We start from the raw sequence: 19,062 nt of genomic DNA, 5'->3' as shown, positions 1-19,062 counted from the left end.
GCACGGTAAACTACAAATTACATGGCATGTCCAAGGAAGGGCCAGCAGGAATCATGCCCAAGGAGCTACTTAGATTTGACCTGGGCAGTAGGGATTGTGACTAAATGGTGAACTAACCCTTTCTGATACAATGGCTTTAGGTCTGTTGTAGCACTTAGCACAGGATAGGGCACATCATATGAAGTTCATATTTGCATTGAAGCTGAGCTGAAGTTTAATTTCATCATTCAGCTGAACATAAAAATAAATAAAATTGCACCTATGTCCAAAACAAGTCAGGAAAACCTGATTAAAAGCAGCAATTAGCTATTTGAATTCTCATTTAATCATATAAAAACCTATTTGAGAGTGCAGACAGAGACTTCTTTTCAGGAGAGAAATACATAAATAAGGGTTTAAACATTTGAGTGGTATCAGAAAGGACTGAATTAGAGAATTGTTTAGCTCCCTTCAAACCCTTGTTTTATTCCATTTTCAGTAATGTCCCCATCCAAATCTCATCTCAAATTGTAATCTCCAGCTGTTGAGGGAGGGATCAGGTGGGTGGTGATTGGATCATGGGGGCGGTTTCCCCCATGCTGTTCTTGTGATAGTGAAGGAGTTCTCATGAGATCTGATGGTTTTATAAGTGTTTGACAGTTCCTCCTTCACATTTGCTCTCTCTCTCCTGCCAACTTTCTGACTTGGGTTCCATGTAAATGCTTATAGGGAGAGAAAGTGCTGGACATGCAGACTTTGAGTATTTTAACAACTATGATAATTACTTATGACCACGAATTAACAGACAATTTTGTCAGTGATTATCAATTTACTTGGCTAAATGGCAGATAATTACTTAGCTAACAATATAGCTATATTAAACATATTTTATGGAATTTTGAGTTGTAGGAAGTAAAGGATCATGTGGTATTTGATTGGGAAATGGTGATAAAAGGGGAAAGAATGGTTGCTTCATATCCTGTTAAAACATTTATTATTGTTCCTCCTTTTAGAAGTTCTTCACTTTGTGTGGCCATGAATTTCCCCCTTCAGCATTGTGCCAAAATTAATTACTTTTTATTATCCCAATAAAACAGAGCAGCTGATCTTAGACAGTTAATCGGGAGCAATGTATATTATTGAATTAATTCATGTCAAAGTGTAATTCTCCAAGAGTTACATTCATTTCCAAAATATATGTCCCCAATCCCTAATTCAGGCAGTAGGACAAATTAAAATAAAAGTAGAAAGGCAGTAGGAAGGAGGAGGCAAAATCTAGGGCAGGCGACCAACCACAGGTAGGCTGGATTTTTCTGGGAATTTGTCCTGAAATCTATTCTCTGAAACTGTGTCTGCCATTAACAGTTCTTTCTTTTCTTCTACAACTGAACCTGAATAATTTCTAAAAGTTCTAAGATTTTTTTTACCATATGTCTTGATTAATAAGTAACATCAGGACTTCAGACTGAGAATAGAAAAATTAAGGCTCAGAATCCTGTTTGTGTATGTCTTGTGTAAGTTGGTTATTTGAAAGTCTGGACTCACCTGCATTAGTGCTAAGAGCTGCTGCACTAGTGTTAAGAAATCTCTTTATTTTTAAATTTTGGTGATCATCTTTGGTCTAATGAATGTTGTGATTTTCTATTGTCCAGGTTTTATGGATCAAATTAATACAATACATAGGCCGGGCTCAGTGGCTCACACTTGAACCCATGAGGTGGAGGTTGCAGTGAGCTGAGATCGTGCCACTGCATTCCAGCCTGGGCGACAGAGTGACACTCTGTCTCAAAGAAAAAATTAATACATTACATAAAGGGGAATTTCTAGTAAAGCTAAAACAAACAAACATTAAGAACCTCTGGGCAGAGCATGGTGGCAGAATACAAGGCTCCACCAATTGTTCCCCCAGCAAGGTCACCAATTTAACAACTATCTGCACAGAATAAACACCTTCATAAGAACCAAAAATCAGGTGAACACTCAGAGTACTTGGTTTTAACTTTATATCACTAAAAGAGGCACTGAATAGATTTTTAAAAAACAAAAAAACCAGTCCTAAATTGCAGATGCCATGCCTCCCCCACCCTGAGTAGGGGTGCTTGGTGGTGTGGAGAGTATTTCTTGGCCCTGGGGGAGGGAGAGAACAGCAATTGTGAGGTATTGAATTCTATGATGTCCAGTTACAGCAGAAAGGAAAACTGAATCAAACTCAGATGACTCCTGCTCGCTGAGGGTTCATTTAAACCAGCCCTGGCCTTAGGGGAATTACCAGTCCCAGTGGTCTGAACTTGAATTTCCACAAACCTCATCACCTAGAGTTATGGTGCTTTGTGTCTCTGAGTAAACTTGAAAGGCAGTCTAGGCCATAAGGACTGCAAATCTTAGGTGAGTCCTAGTGCTGAACTAGGTTGAGAGACACTGGACTGGGGGAACACACAACTTACTGAGACACCAGATGGGGCAGCCAAGGGAGTGCTGGCATCACCACTGCCCTAATTCTAGGCTGCACAGCTCACAGCTCCAAAAGAGACCCCTTCCATCCACCTGAGCAGAGAAGGGGGAAGAGTAGGGGGCACTGTGTGTTGGATCTTGGTTACCATTTCAGCCACAGCACGATAAGTCAGATTCGGTGAGGCCCCTGTTACAGATCTTGGTTACCATTTCAGCCACAGCACGATAAGTCAGATTCGGTGAGGCCCCTGTTACAGGGTGTAGCTCCCAGAAAACATTACTAGACACACCCTGGGGCAGAAAGTAACCTGCTGTCTTGAAGGAAAGCACCCAGTCCCAGCAGCATTTATCACCTGCTAACTGAAGAGCCCTTTGGCCCTGAATAACCAGCAGCGATACCCAGATACTGCCCCAAGGGCCTTGGGTAAGCCTCTGATACTTCCTGGCTTCAGGTGAGACTCAGCACACTACCAGTTGCAGTGGCTATGGGGCAAAACTCCTTCAGCTTGAGAAAAGCAGAGGGAAAAGTAAAGGGGACTTTGACTTGCATCTTAGGTACCAGCACAATTGTTTGTAACTCAAAGGATAAATGCTTGAGGGGATGAATACTTTCTTCTCCATGATGTGCTTATTTCACATTGCTTGCCTGTATCAAAACATCTCATGTACTTCATAAATATATACACCTTATTTACCTATAAAAATTTAAAAAATAAAAGTAGAAAATAAAAAGAATGTTTACAATGCAGGGAAACTATCTTAACCAATTCCTTTATTCTTTCTGGGTGGGATTGAGAGTGGGAATAAAAGGAGAGTGATGATATTTTGATATAAACAGCAGTTTATTTCTTTGGAAAGGAAAATAGTGGTCAAGGGGGCTAAAGCCACGGTTGCTTTCTGCAAGGCAACTTATGACTTTATTGATGCCCCTCCCCAGATTTCTGATATTCTAGATTTTTCCTATTGCTATTTCTTATAAATGTGCTGGTCCCACTCAATGACTGCTATGAAAAAGATGAAAGGATCAGGATTATGCAGACAGCACATCATCAATCAAAAGTCGTTTTTGACTGGAAAAGAGTTGGTTGCCAGACCTCTGCACAGCACATCCCAAAAAAACATGAATAATTCATTTATTGTTAAAAACCTTTTTTGTACTTTCCTAAACTGTAGTTTATCTTGTCTTGGATAGCTTCAAAAAGAGCCTGTGTACTTATGAATGTATAACTTCATTTGTATTTCAACTTAGCGGAGTCCTAATCAATTAAGTTCTTTTTTCCAGGTGGTTCCTGCAATAATAAAATATAGCCTGAAGAAAGTCCATTTTTAGGCACTATTTTTTAAAATGAAAATGGTCAGGAAAAGACACTGACACTGAAAAAAACAACCAAATAAAAGAAAATCCTACTGCTCAAGATTAACAAACTCAGGTTGACAGAAAACGTGGAATAACCTCTGACAAACCAAATATCAGCATATTAGGCCCTTAGAGCAATGCAGTTAAATTTCAAAATATAATACAATGATTTTGCCAGCCAAGCTTTAAGCCATTCATAAACTCCTGTAGCAGTAACCTAAGTTACCATTATGCATGGTTCTCTCTTTTTCCACCTCTTCACCTCTCTCTTTTTTGTGTGTCTCTTTCCCTCTACACACACACACACACACACACACACACATCTGTGTGATACTGAAAATTTCTGTTCAAAGTCATATGTCACTTTCTACTTATGTTGAGAAAGCTTAATATTAGGATGCGTAGAACAAATGTAGTGTCAGATAGTTGGCATTCAGGCCATTTTGCCATTTCTAAGGTTAAATACTTATCTCTAACTTTTAAAGGTACTATCGTCCCTCAGTATCTGTGGGAGATTTGTTCCAGGACTCCCCGTGGATACCAAAATCCCTGTATGAACAATTCCTTATATAAAATGGCATAGTATTTGCATATAACCTATGTGCCTCCTCCTGTATATATTAAATCATCTTTATATTACTTATAATACTTAATACGATGTAAATGCTATATAACTAGTTGTTGTACTGTATTTTCATTTACATTATTTTTTATTGTTGTTTTTCAAATATTTTCAGTCCATGCTTGGTTGAACTCATGATTGTAGAACCCACAGATATGGAGAGCCAACAGTATGTATACTTGGAGTCTTATATCTTTCTATCCATGAACTTTCTTAAGCACAGGTAGCATATTTCAATGGAGAGTTTCTTTTTCCTTCCTGAAACTGCCTTTTATCTGATCCTAACACAATCTGAATTGATTTATGTAGAAGTCAGATAAGCAGACATCTTAAAGTGAGAACTATTTCAAGTGGAGGTCAGTGAGAAAATAGATCTATCAACTGAATCGATAATCACAGAGATGCAAAAGCTGACATGGAGTTACACTGAGAAAAGTTACAGTTTATTCTGAATTCTTTACAAGGCCTCCTTGTGTCATACAATAATACCATTGCATGACAGGTTTTTCTTGAAAACAACATTGTATGACGAGTTAGTGGGTACAGCGCACCAGCATGGCACATGTATACATATGTAACTAACTTGCACATTGTGCACATGTACCCTAAAACTTAAAGTATAATAATAATAAATAAATAAAAAAAAGAAAACAACATTGTATTTTTTTGTCATCAGTGTCGATTTTCAAAACATGAAATATTTACCCTATAAACTCATCAGAATGAGAAGAAGTGTAGTCAACAATAAAGCAAATACTTTGTCTTCATACTAAGTTAGACTTTCATTAATAGATAAGTCCTGTTTGATTTAGTCACGGATCAGATTTAATAGTCTACAGCAATCTAATCACAGGTAATAGATCTTGCTAATAATTGAACCATGACAAGTGCTTTGTCATGTTGGTTGAGACAAAATCTGAGATACTAGAGCTCCAGATCCCCATCCCAATGATCCCCATAGTACTTTTCCTGTTACCGTTGCCTCTGAAACAGCATTGTTTAAACTGATGTTCAGTAGTACTATGCATAAGGGATATTCCTCAAAACATGTGCCTTCTGGTCACTTGTGGTTGCTATCTTCTACCTATTCTATCCCACCCTTGGAGAGTGACAATTCACCATTTAAAACAGCATATTTAAATTTCTGAAAATTCTTCCACTTAAAAAAAAAAACTTGTTTAGCCTAGGATTTGCTAAACTGAGTTGACCATAGAAGTCATTTTTCTTCTTGAAACACTGATTAATATCTCATATAATAATTATTTCAAGAAAGACACTTGTAGTGGATGCTGTGATGCACTGCCAAGATTCCCTGTAAGAACTGAAGGGCTCGTTCCCCCAGTTTCTGGGAATACTTCTGGCTGACTGCACTCAGCTGCCAGCTCTCTCTAAAAATTGCCAATAGCTAGAGAGAACTGCCTCTCTTAAGTTCATAACCCCTTCCCAGGGACAGCCTGCATTCAAGGACTGATCGAGACTGAAGTAAAATGCCCTGACTATTCACCACAATGTGAGACAACCGTAAAAAGATATCTCAGTTTCACAACTCAAATGGTGTTAGCCGATGCCTTCACTGAGGCTATGCCACAGCTCAACTTTTCTCTCTGCCCACTTTTGTTTTCTTTTCTTTTTTATTTTTTTCCCTTCCTTTCTCTTTTCTTGAACAGTTGCTGATCCTGAGAATATTGCATGATAAATTTCCTGAATGCTTAGTTCAAGCTCAGTTTACTTTTGAAAGAACTCAACCTACAAAACATTTTAGGACACTTAGGTGTAATGAAGACAATTGATGCAAAAAAAAAAAAAAGGTAATATACAACAAATCACATGTGGAAAGAAAACATGCCAAATTTTGAAGGAAGCTTAATAGAAAACACAGAGTGAACAATGAATCTCCACTTACTTTAGTTATCATGGAATTGGAGTGCCAGCTGAAAAGCAATAGGCTACATGAGGAATCTATAAAGGCAGCTGGTTTTGAAGGAGTGAAAATAATCTGGACACACTGAAGAGATAAAAGTTTTAAAAGCCTATGAAAAATTATGTCTGCATCATTATTATCTTAATTGCCGTTGCCTCTGAAACAGCATTGTTTAAACTGATGTTCAGTACTACTATGCATAAGGGATATTCCTCAAAACATGTGCCTTCTGGTCACTTGTGGTTGCTATCTTCTACCTATTCTATCCCACCCTTGGAGAATCACAATTCACCATTTAAAACAGCATATTTAAATTTCTGAAAATTCTTCCAGTTAAAAAAAAACTTGTTTAGCCTAGGATTTGCTAAACTTAGTTGACCACAGAAGTCATTTTTCTTCTTGAAACACTGATTAATATCTCATAGAATAATTATTTCAAGAAAGACACTGGTAGTGGATGCTGTGATGCACTGCCAAGATTCCCTGTAAGAACTGAAGGGACCTCTTAACTGGTTTTCCTTCCTCCAATCCTACCCTCTTTCAATCAATTCACCCCTAGCAGCCACAGTGATGTCTTTAGTGTAAATATAATATTGTCATATCTCTAATTAAAATCTTACAATTGCATGCATTGCTTCCAAATTTATTAGCTTGACTTATAAGGTCCTTTATGATTTAACCTCTCTAGTCACTCTTGAATTAATACCCATTACCCCAGATCTACTGTGCATCTTTTGCTCCTTGAATATGACACGCTCTAAAATGCCTCTGGGCCTCTGCATATGCTATTACCTTTGCTTAGACCCCACCCACCACTCCCACTCTTTCATCTTTTAGGCCCCAGCTTGAGTGTCACTTCCTTCAGGAAGCTTTCCATGGCCAGCCTCATCAAGTCAGCATTTAGATCCCCTGTCATGTGCTTTTATATCACCCTATTCTTCCCCTAACATAGCATGATGCATAATGTAATTGTTTAATAATATTCCCCCTTCTGATAGAATGTAAATTTATCAATGCCAGGGACTATAGGGACTATATCTTACTCATGGTGCCTATGCAACTGTGACTAACACATAGTAGGTACTCAATAAATATGAATAAATGTATGAAAAAATATAAAGCTCCTGAGCATTTCCTTATCCTAAAACAGTAATTTGGAAGGTGTGACTAAAGCCAAATCAATGTCAAATCCCTATCTTTCCTTAACAAGAATAATATTTTGAGGCTATAAAAACAAGGCCTTTTATGATTTAACCTCTCTAGTTACTCTTGAATTAATACCCATTACCCCAGATCCACTGCGCATCTTTTGCTTCTTGAATGTGACATGCTCTAAAATGCCTCTGGGCCTCTGCATATGCTATTACCTTTGCTTAGACCCCATACACAACTCTTTTCTAGTCACTCTTGGCTTAAGACTAGGCTCCAATTTTAACTAAAGTACTGAGCACTTCACTATGTATGTCGTTGGAAATACTATTTCTCTCAATATATATATCTCTACCTATCTATCTATTTAGCTATCTAAAATACAATTTATGAAAGACCAAATATATATCAACTACAAATCCTGCCTGTAGGAAAACCTGCAATTTTGTTGAGAAACAAAACCAGAGAATGTAAAGCACTAAGTTTCTTGGTTTAGACCAGCAGTTTCTGAACTGTGTGTTGTGATGAGTAGTGACATATGTCACAAATAATTTAGTACTAATAAAAAGTATCAACATTTGAAAATTATTTTTAGTAAATAAGAGCAATTTTAAGATATCTTATTTAATAATATTGCTCACTCTTTATGATCTAATATGCTGTCTTGAGTGAAAGAAAAAGAGGAAATTATTATTAGCCCATTGGAAATTGTTTATACCCCTGAGTAAGTCCATGAAACTTTGTCTTATAAGTGAATTTATCAATCATGTGTGATACATGGGGGAGGATCTCTGCATTACACTGTAAAAACAATAAATTTTCATAGACTGGGAAAAACAGACTGGACCAGAGGCATATAGAAAAGTTACAGATATGATGTTTGCTCTGTTGAAAAACTAGCAAGCCTGGAGGTTGGTCAAGGAAATACATTAATATGTATAGCTTATACAAGTCTGGATAAGTATGTTTAAAATGAGGAGTAGTTTGCTTAAATTCCACTAAATTTTAGCATAGGTATCTTATATACATAACAAGGTTTGGTGGGACTTTTCATGTTACCTTGGAAATGGCAATGAGGCTTCAAAAATGAATATAATATTCTCCAAATAAGTATACATTCTTAGGAAAGCCAACAACGATTGGGTCCAGAAACTTTTATTTATTTTTTTTCCTTCCGAGTTTTATTTGAGGTTCAAGGAGTACATACACAAGTTTGTTAGATGGGCAAATTGTGTGTCACAGGGGTTTGATGTATGCGTAATTTTGTCATCCAGGTAATAGGCATAATAAATTATAGATTGTTTTACAATCCACACTCTCCTCTCACTCTGTACCCTTAAGTATGCCCCAGTGTGTATTGTTCCCTTCTTTGAGTTCATGTGTACTCAATATTTAGCTTCCACTTATAAGTGAGAATATATGGTATTTGGTTTTCTGATTCTTCATTAATTTCCTTAGAATAATGGCCTCCAGTTCCATTCATGTTGCTGCAAAGGACGTGATTTCATTTTTTATGGCTGTGTAGTATTCCATAGTGTATAAATTCCACATTTATTGATCCAGTCCACTGTTGATGGACATCTAGGTTGATTCTTTGCTATTGTGAATTGTGCTGTGATTAACATACGCATTCATGTGTCTTTATGGTAGAACAATTTATTTTCCTTTGGATATATACCCAGGAATGGAATTGCTGTGTCTAAGGGTAGTTCTGTTTTAAGTTATTTGAGAAATCTCCAGGCTGCTTTCCACAATGACTGAAATAATTTACATTCCCACCAACAGTGCACAAACATTCCCTTTTCATTGCAACCTTGCCAACATCGGCTATTTATTGACTTTTTAATAATGGTCATTCTGACTGGTGTGAGATAGCATCTCACTGTGGTTTGGATTTGCATTTCCATTTGATTTGCATTTCCATTAGGGATATTGAGCATTTTTTCATATGCTTGCTGGCTGCATATATGACTCCTTTTGAGAAGTATCTGCTCATGTTCTTTGCCCATTGTTTAATAGGTTGGTTTGTTTTTTGCTAGTTGACTTATTTAAGTTCCTTATAGATTCTGTATATTAAATCTTAGTCTGGTGCATAGTTTGCAAATATTTTCTCCCATTCTGTAGGCTGTCTGTTTACTCTATAGATAGTTTCCTTTGCTGTCTAGATGCTCTTTAGTTTAATTAAGTTTCATTTGTTAATTTTTGTTTTCTTTGCAATTACTTTTGGAGTCCTTGTCATCAAGTTTTTGCCAGGGCTGATGTCCAGAATTGTATTTCCTACATTTTCTTCTAGGGTTTTTACAGTGCTAGGATTTACATATAAGTCTTTACTTCATCTTGAGTTAATTTTTCTATATGGTAAAAGAAAGGGGTCCAATTTCAGTAATTTGCATATGGCTAGCTAGTTATTCTAGCAGCATTTATTGAATAGAGGGTCCTTTCTTCATAGCTTGTTATTGTCAAATTTGTTGAAGATCAGATGGCTGCAGGTGTTTGGCTTTATTTCTGGGTTGTTTACTCTGTTCCATTGATCTATGTGTTTGCTTTTGTTCCAGTACTATGCTGTTTTAATTATGGTAACTTTGTAGTACACTTTGAAGTCAGATAGTTTGATGCTTGTGACTGTGTTTTTGTTGTTGTCATTTTTTTTTTTGTCTTTTGCTTAGGATTGCTTTGGCTATATGAGCTCTTTTCTGGTTCCAAATAAATTTTAGAATAGTTTTTTTTTATAATTCTGTGAAAAATATGATTGGTACTTTGATAGGAATAGCATTTAATCTTTAAATTGCTTTAGGTAGCATGGTCATTTTCATGATATTGATTGTACCTATCCATGAGCATGAACTCTTCTTCCATTTGTGTGTGCTGTCTTTCATCAGTGTTTTGTAATTCTCATTGTAGAGATCTTTCACATCACTAATTGGCTGTATTCTTAGGTATTTTATTCTTTTTGTGGCTTTTGTGAATGGGATTGCATTCTTGATTTGGCTCTCCACTTGGATGTTATTGGTGTATAGAAATGTTACTGATACGTGTATATTGATTTCGAATCCTGAAACTTTGCTGAAGATGTTTATCATATCCAGAAGACTTTGAGCAGAGACGATGGTGATTTCCAAATATAGAATAATATTGTCTGCAAACAGGGATTGTTTGACTTTTTCTAATCCTATTGTGATGCCTTTGTTTCTTTCTGTTATCTGATTGGTGTGGTTAGGACTTCCAGTACTATGTTGAATAAGGGTGGTGAAAGTGGGCATCCTTGTTTTGCTCTGGTTTTCAAGGGGAATGCTTCCAGCTTTTGCCTGTTCAATATGATGTTGGCTACAGATTTGTCATAAAGGACTTTTACAGTTCTGAGGTATGTTTCTTAGATGCCTGGTTCATTGAGGGTTTTTAACAGAAAAGGATGTTGGATTTTATTAAAATTATTTTCTGCATCTATTGCAATGATCATGTGGTTTTGTGTTTTAGTTCTGTTTATGTGATGAATCACATTATTGATTTGCATACGTTAAACCAACCTTGCCTCCCAGAGATCAAGCCTACTTGATGGTGGTGAATGGGCTTTATCACGTGCTGCTGGATTTGATTTGCTAGTATTTTGTTGAGGATTTTTGCATCCATGTTTATCAGAGATATTGGCCTGAAATTTTTTTCTTGTGTCTCTGCTAGGTTTTGGTATCAGAATGATGCTGGCCTCATAGAATGATTTAGGGAGGATTCCCTCCTCCATGACTTTTTGGAATAGTTTCAGTAAGACTGATACCAGCTCTCCTTTATATATATAGTCGAATTTAGCTGTGAGTCCGTTTGATCTAGGGTTTCTTTCTGGTTGGTAGGCTTTTTATTACAGATTCAATTTCAGAACTCATTATGGATCTATTCAGGTTTTTAATTTCTTCCTGGTTCAATCTTGGAAGGTTGTATGTTTCTAATAATTTATCCATTTATTCTAGGTTTTCTAGTTTGTGTGCATAGAGGTATGAATAATAGTCTCTGAGGGCTTTTCATATTTCTGTGGGATTGGTGGTAATGTCTCCTTTGTCATTTCTGATTGTGTTTATATGGATCTTTTCTCTTTTTTCTATATTAGTTTAGCTAACAATCTATCAATCTTATTCATTCTTTTGAAGAACTAACTTTTGCTTTTGTTGATATCTGTATGTTTTTTATCATCTTCATTTCATTAAATTCAGCTCTGATTTTGGTTATTTCTTTTCTTCTACTAGGTTTGGAGTTGCTTTGCTCTTGCTTTTCTAGTTCCTCTAGATGTGATGTTAGATTATTTCTTTGAGATATTTCTAACTTTTTGATGTGGGCATTTAGAACTATAAACTTTCCCCTTAACACTGTTTTAGATATGTGCCAGAGATTCTGGCATATTGTATCATTGTTTTTATTAATTTCAAAACAATTATTGATTTTTGCCTTAATTTCATTGTTTGCCTAAAAGTCATTCAGGAGCAGATTGCTTAATTTCCATTTAATTGTATGGTTTTGAGAGATCTTCTTAATAAAATTGATTTCTGGTTTTGTTGCACTGTAGTCTGAGAGAGTAGTTGATATGATTGTGTGGGTTTTTTAAATTTGTTGAAAATTGCTTCATGGCTGAGCATGTGGTTGATTTTAGAATATTTTCCATGTGCAGATTTTCACTCGAGTCCATGTGAAGAGACCACCACACAGGCTTTGTGTGAGCAACAAGGCTGTTTATTTCACCTGGGTGCAGGTGGGCTGAGTCTGAAAAGAGAGTCAGCAAAGGGCGATAGGGGTGGGGCCATTTTATAAGATTTGGGTAGGTAAAGGAAAATTACAGTCAAAGGGGGTTGTTCTCAGCGGGCAGGGTTGGGGGTCACAAGGTGCTCAGTTGGGGAGCTTTTGAGCCAGGATGAGCCAGGAAAAGGAATTTCACAAGGTAATGTCATCAGTTAAGGCAGGAACAGGCCATTTTCGCTTCTTTTGTCATTCTTCAGTTCCTTCGGGCCATCTGGGTGTATATTTGCAGGTCACAGAGGATATGATGGCTTAGCTTGGACTCAGAGGCCTGACATTCCTGTCTTCTTATATTAATAAGAAAAATAAAACAACATAGTGGTAAAGTGTTCGGGTGGCAAAAATTTTGGGGGTTGGTGTGGAGAGATAATGGGCGATGTTTCTCAGGGCTGCTTCCAGCGTGATTAGGGGTGGTGTGGGAACCTACAGTGGGAGAGATTAAGCTGAAGGAAGATTTTGTGGTAAGGGGTGATATTGTGGGGTTGTTAGAAGAAACATTTGTCATATAGAATTATTGGTGATGGCCTGGATACGGTTTTGTACGAATTGAAAAACTAAATGGAATAAGACAAGGAGAAAAACAGGTATTAAAGGACTAAGAATTGGGAGGACCTAGGACATCCAATTAGAGAGTGCCTAGGACATCCAATTAGAGAGTGCCTAAGGAGGTTCAGCATAGCCCTGCCAGCAAAGATTATTTATTTACTTTAAGAGGGAGTTAAGAGTGGTGGTTTGGGGATAGTACCAGGAGATATCAGCTGTGATGGCTTGGAGAAACAGTTTACCAGCAGTATAAACACGAGCATTTAGGAGTAGTTGAGAACAGTGAATAGGAGTATGACTAGACAGAAGACAGTAGGGATGACAAGGTTTTTGGGGCTCAGTCCAAGTTGGTCTGGTGTCTGGAATGAGACTGGGGCCTAATAAAAAGGAGCATCTATACAAGAGCTCAAATGGGCTGTACCTTGTAGCATTCTGAGGACAGGCCTGAATTCTGAGAAGGGCAAGTGGTAAAAGTATTGTCCAGTCCTTTTTAAGTTGGTGGCTGAGCTTTGTGAGGTGTGTTTTTAAAAGACCTTTAGTCTCTCCTACCTTTCCTGAAGATTGAGGATGGTAAGGGATATAAAGGTTTCGCTGAATACCAAGAGCCTGAAAAACTGCTTGGGTGATTTGACTAACAAAGGCCAGTCCGTTATCGGACTGTATAGAGGTGGGAAGGCCAAACCAAGGAATTATGTCTGACAGAAGGGAAGAAATGACCGCGGTGGCCTTCTCAGACCCTGTGGGAAAGGCTTCTACTTATCGAATGAAAGCGTCTACCCAGACCAAGGGGTATTTTAGTTTCCTGACTCGAGGCAGGTGAGTAAAGTCAATTTGCCAGTTCTGGGCGGGGGCAAATCCCCGAGCTTGATGTGTAGGGAAGGGAGGGGGCCTGAGAAATGCCTGAGGAGTAGTAGAATAGCAGATGGAACACTGAGAAGTGATTTCCTTGAGGATAGATTTCCACGATGGAAAGGAAATGAGAGGATCTAAGAGGCAGGCTAGCGGCTTGTAACCTACATGGAAGAGGTTATGAAATGACGACAGAATAGAATGGGCCTGTGAGGCTGGAAGGAGATATTTTCCTTTTAAACCATTTGCCTTGTGTGGGAAGAGATTGATAGGTGGAAGTTTCAGCGGGGGAGTAGGTGGGAGTGGCCAGATGAGAAGGCGAAAAACTGCCTTGAGGGATAGAAGTTGGAACACCAGCTGCTTTTTTTAGCTATTTTATCAGCATAAGCATTGTCCTGAGCGATGGGATCTGATGCCTTTTGATGGCTGCTTTTTTAGCTACCTTATCAGCATAAGTGTTGTCCTGAGCGATGGGATCTAATGCCTTTTGATGGCCTTTGCAGTGAATGACTAGCGGCTTTGAGAAGCATTTTTATTAAAGAGGCATTAATGATGGAGGACCTTTGCATAGTGAGGAAATCTCTTTCAGCCTATATAACAGCATGGTGGTGCAAGATATGGAAGGCATATTTAGTCAGTACAAATATTGATGCGTAGTCCTTTTGCAAGAGTGAGGGCTCGAGTTAAGGCACTGAGTTCGGCTTGCTGAGAGGTAGTGGAGGGGGGCAGAAAGTATATGCGTCAGGTGTGAGGAAGAAAATAGATTTTGGAAGTTATGAGAACTGTAGAGGGTGAGTTGAGCATAGTTTGTGATTTTGAGGGCCTCTAAAATTATTAAGGCAGTGGCAGCCACTGCATGCAGACATGAGGGCTAGGCTAAAACAGTAAGGTCAAGTTGTTTGGACAGAAAGGCTACAGGGTGCGGTCCTGGCTCTTGTGTATGAATTTTGACCTCACTAACTATGCCTAGGAAGGAAAGGAGTTGTTATTTTGTAGAAGGGATTGGGGTTTGGGAGATTAGCCGGACACAATCAGCAGGGAGAGCACGTGTGTTTTCCTGAGAATTGTATCGAGATAGGTAACAGATGAGGAAGAAATTTGGGCTTGACGGAAGTAATGGCAGCTGTCTGTGAAGACTTGAGGCAGTACAGCCTAGGTAATTTGCTGAGCCTGATGGGTGTCACGGTCAGTCCAAGTGAAAGTGAAGAGAGGCTTGGGTGAAGGGTGCAAAGGAATAGTAAAGAAAACATGTCTGAGATCCAGAATAGAATAATAGGTTTGTGGAGGGAGGTATTTAGGATAGGAGAGTCTATGGGTTTGGCACCATGGGGTGGATAGGCAAAACAATTTGGTTGATAAGGCGCAGATCCTGAACTAACCTGTAAGGCTTGTCTGGTTTTAGGACAGGTAAAATGGGGGAATTGTAAGGAGAGTTTATAGGCTTTAAAAGGCCATGCTGTAACAGGTGAGTGATAACAGGGTTTAATCCTTTTAAAGCGTGCTGTGGGATGGGATATTGGTGTTGAGCAGGGTAAGGGTGATTAGGTTTTAATGAGATGGTAAGGGGTGCATGATCCATCACTAAGGAGGGAGTAGAGGTGTCCTATACTCGTGGTTTAAGGTGGGGAGATACAAGGAGAGGATGTGAAGGAGGCTTTGAACTGGGGGAAAAGGCAGCAATGAGGTGCAGCTGTAGCCCAGGAATAGTCAGGGAAGCAGATAATTTAATTAAAATGTCTCGACCTAATAAGGGAGCTGGGCAGGTGGGGATAATTAAAAGGATTGCTTAAAACAGTATTGTCTAAGTTGGCACCAGAGTTGGGGAGTTTTAAGAGGTTTAGAAGCCTGGCCGTCAATACCTACAACAGTTATGGACGCAAGGGAAACAGGCCCTTGAAAAGAAGGTAATGTGGAGTGGGTAGCCTCTGTATTGATTAAGAAAGGGATGGACTTACCCTCCACTGTGAGAGTTACCTGAAGATCAGCATCCGTGATGGTCTAGGGGGCTTCTGAGGCAATCGGGCAGCATCAGTCTTCAGCCACTAAGCCAAGAAGATCTGAGAAGGAGTCAGTCAGAGAGCCTTGGGCCAGAGTTCCAGGGGCTCCGGGAGTGGCTGCCAGGTGAGTTGAACAGTCCGATTTTCAGTGGGGTCCTGCACAGATGGGACATTGCTTAGGAGGAATCCCGGGCTGCGGGCATTCCTTGGCCCAGTGGCCAGATTTCCGGCACTTGTAGCAAGCTCCTGGGGGAGGCGGGCCTGGAGGAATGCCTGGCCACTGCAGTTTAGGTGTTTGGAAGTTCTTGTGTGCTGGAGATGTGGCTGGGGTTTGTCTCACAGTGGAGGCAAGGAATTGCAACTCAGAAATACATTGCTACTTGGCTGTCTCTAATCTATTATTGTATACCTTGAAGGCGAGGTTAATTAAGTCCTGTTGTGGGGTTTGAGGGCCAGAATTTAATTTTTGGAGCTTTATTTAATGTTGGGAGCAGATTGGGTAATAAAATGCATATTGAGAATAAGATGGCCTTCTGACCTTTCAGGGTCTAGGGCTGTAAAGCGTCTCAAAGTTGCTGCCAAATGAGCCATGAACTTGTCTGGGTTTTTATATTCGATGAAAAAGAGCCTAAACGCTAACTGATTTTGGGAGAGGTTGGATAAAGAAAAAGGAGCATTAACCTTGACTATGCCTTTAGCTCCAGCCACCTTTTTAAGAGGAAATTGCTGGGCAGGTGGGGGAGGGCTAGTCGTTGAACAAAACTGTAAGCTGGACTGGGTGTGAGGAGGGGAGGTGATAAAAGGTTTATAGGGTGGAGGAGCAGAGGCTGAGGAAGAATTGGGACCTGGCTCGGCCTGGCGAGGAGCAGCCTGGGGAGGAGGGGAGAGGTCAGATGGGTCTGTAGAAAAGGAAGATTAGAAAGACTCAGCGCCACTCGCATCCGTGTGAAGAGACCACCAAACAGGCTTTGTGTGAGCAACAAGGCTGTTTATTTCACTTGGGTGCAGGTGGGCTGAGCCTGAAGAGAGAGTCAGCAAAGGGCGATAGGGGTGGGGCCGTCTTATAAGATTTGGGTAGGTAAAGGAAAATTGCAGTCAAAGGGGGTTGCTCTCAGCGGGCAGGGGTGGGGGTCACAAGGTGCTCAGTCGGGTAGCTTTTGAGCCAGGATGAGCCAGGAAAAGGAATTTCACAAGGTAATGTCATCAGTTAAGGCAGGAACAGGCCATTTTCACTTCTTTTATCATGCTTCAGTTCCTTCAGGCCATCTGGATGTATCTGTGCAGGTCACAGAGGATATGGCTTAGCTTGGGCTCAGAGGCCTGACACGGATGAGAATAATGTATATTATGTTCTTGTTTGGTGGAGGGTTCTATAGATATCTGTTAGGTTCATGTGGCCAAGTGTTGAGTTCAGGTCCTGAATATCTTTATTAGTTTTCTGCATTGGTAGTCTGTCCAAAAAATGTCAGTAGAGTGTTGAACTCTCCTACTATTATTTTGTGCTTATCTAAGTCTCTTCATAGGCCTCTAAGAACTTCTTTTATGAATCTTGGTACTCCAGTGTTGAGTACATACATATTTAGGATAGTGAAGTCTTCTTGTTAAATTGAACCCTTTATTATCATATAATATTATGCTTTGTCCTATTGGATCAGTTTAGTTTAAAGTCTGTTTTGTCTGAAATAAGAACATCAACTCCTTCTTTTTTATTTTTTGCTTTCCATTTGCTTTATAGATCTTTCTCCATCCCTTTACTTTGAGCTGATGGGTATCCTTGCATGTGAGATGGGTCTCTCAAAGATAGCATACAGTTAGGTCTTCCTTCTTTATCCAACTTGCTACTCTGTGCCTTTTAAGTGGGGCATTTAGCCTGTTTACAATCAAGGTTAATATTTATATGTGCAGATTTCATCCTGTCATGTGTTGTTAGGTAGCTGTTATGTAGACTTGATTGTCCAGATGCTTTATAGTATCAATAGTCAATGTACTTAAGTGTGTTTTTTTGGTGTCTAGTAACAGTATTTTTTTTCCCATGTTTAGCACTCCTTTAAGGACCTCTTGTAAGGCAGGTCTGTTAGCAATAAATTATCTTACCATTTGCTTGTCTAAAAAGGATCTTATTTCTCCTTCACTTATGAAGCTTAGTTTGGGTGGATATAAAGTTCATTATTGCAGTTTCTTTTCCCTGAGGATGCTGACTATAGGCCCCAGTCTCTTTTGGCTTGTAGGGTTTCTGCTAAAAGTTCCACCGTTAGCCTGTTGGGGATCCCTTTTTTAGGTGATCTGGCCCTTCTCTCTAGCTTCCTTTTGTATTTTTTCTTTCACATTGACCATAGAGAATTTAATGACTATTTGCTTTGGGGATGGTTATCTTGTATAGTATGTTGCAGGGATTCTCTGAATTTTCTGAATTTGAATATCAACCTCACTAGCAAGGTTGGACAAATTTTGTAGACAATATCCTCAAATATTTTCCAAGTTGCTTGCTGTCTCTCCCTCTCTGGAATGCTTATGAGTTGTAGGTTTTAACTCTTTACGTAATCCCTTACTTATTCAAGGTTTTGTTATTTGTTTAATTTTTTTAAAATTTCATCTGCCTTTTAATTTGAAGAACTGGTCTTCAGGCTCTGAGATTCATTCCTCATCATGGCCTATTCTGCTCTTGATATTTCTACTTGTGCTAGGAAATTCTTGTAGTGAGTTTTTCAGCTCTAGCAGATTGGTTTTGCTCTTTCTTAAAATATCTATTTTGTCTTTTATCTCTTGATTAGTTTTACTGGATTCCTTATATTCCTTGAAATAGGTTTCAACTTCCTCCTGAATCTGAATTATCTTTGTTGCCATCCAGATTCTGACTTCTATGTCAGTCATTTTATTTTGTCTTCTTTTTTTTTTTTTTCCGAGATGGAATCTTGCTCTGTCACCCAGGCTGGAGAACAGTGGTGCAATCTTGGCTCATTGCAGCTTCTGCCTCCCAGGTTCAAGCTGGGATTACAGGCATGAACCACCATGCCCGGCTAATTTTTATATTTTCAGTCAAGACAGGGTTTCACCATGTTGGCCAGGCTGGTCTTGAACTCCTAACTTTGTGATTTTGCGATCCATCTGCCTCGGCCTCCCAAAGTGCTGGGATTACCAGCCATGATGTCTGGCCTATTTTTTTCTTGTTAACAACTATTGCTGGGGAGCTAGTATGGTCCTTTGGATGCAAGGAGACGCTCTGGCTTTTAGAGTTGCCAGAATTTTTGCACTGGTTCTTTCTCATCCGTGTGGGCTGATGTACCTTTAACTGTGGTATATGTAATTTGAGTATAGTCAGCTTTGTTTCTGCATGTTTTCAGAAGGCTGAGACTTTGTGCAGCATCTTTATTTGTGGCTGAATTCTTGTCCTTGGTTTCACAGAGGGGTATATTAGCAA

General features: G+C 39.1%; 3 annotated features.

The window, feature by feature from the left end:
- Positions 12,174-12,684: an enhancer, noted in NCBI's record as "NANOG hESC enhancer chrX:115467427-115467937 (GRCh37/hg19 assembly coordinates)". NCBI's record gives its function as "activates a minimal SCP1, AML or CMV promoter by ChIP-STARR-seq in naive H9 embryonic stem cells {active_cell/tissue: H9 hESC(naive)}" and the evidence as "EXISTENCE:reporter gene assay evidence [ECO:0000049][PMID:30033119]".
- Positions 13,544-14,236: an enhancer, noted in NCBI's record as "OCT4-NANOG-H3K27ac hESC enhancer chrX:115465875-115466567 (GRCh37/hg19 assembly coordinates)". NCBI's record gives its function as "activates a minimal SCP1, AML or CMV promoter by ChIP-STARR-seq in naive and primed H9 embryonic stem cells {active_cell/tissue: H9 hESC(naive and primed)}" and the evidence as "EXISTENCE:reporter gene assay evidence [ECO:0000049][PMID:30033119]".
- Positions 16,239-17,164: an enhancer, noted in NCBI's record as "NANOG-H3K27ac-H3K4me1 hESC enhancer chrX:115462947-115463872 (GRCh37/hg19 assembly coordinates)". NCBI's record gives its function as "activates a minimal SCP1, AML or CMV promoter by ChIP-STARR-seq in naive H9 embryonic stem cells {active_cell/tissue: H9 hESC(naive)}" and the evidence as "EXISTENCE:reporter gene assay evidence [ECO:0000049][PMID:30033119]".

Source organism: Homo sapiens, chromosome X, assembly GCF_000001405.40.
Source record: "Homo sapiens chromosome X, GRCh38.p14 Primary Assembly".
NCBI classification, from domain to species: Eukaryota; Metazoa; Chordata; class Mammalia; order Primates; family Hominidae; genus Homo; species Homo sapiens.
This window is presented reverse-complemented; position numbering and strand designations above follow the sequence as displayed.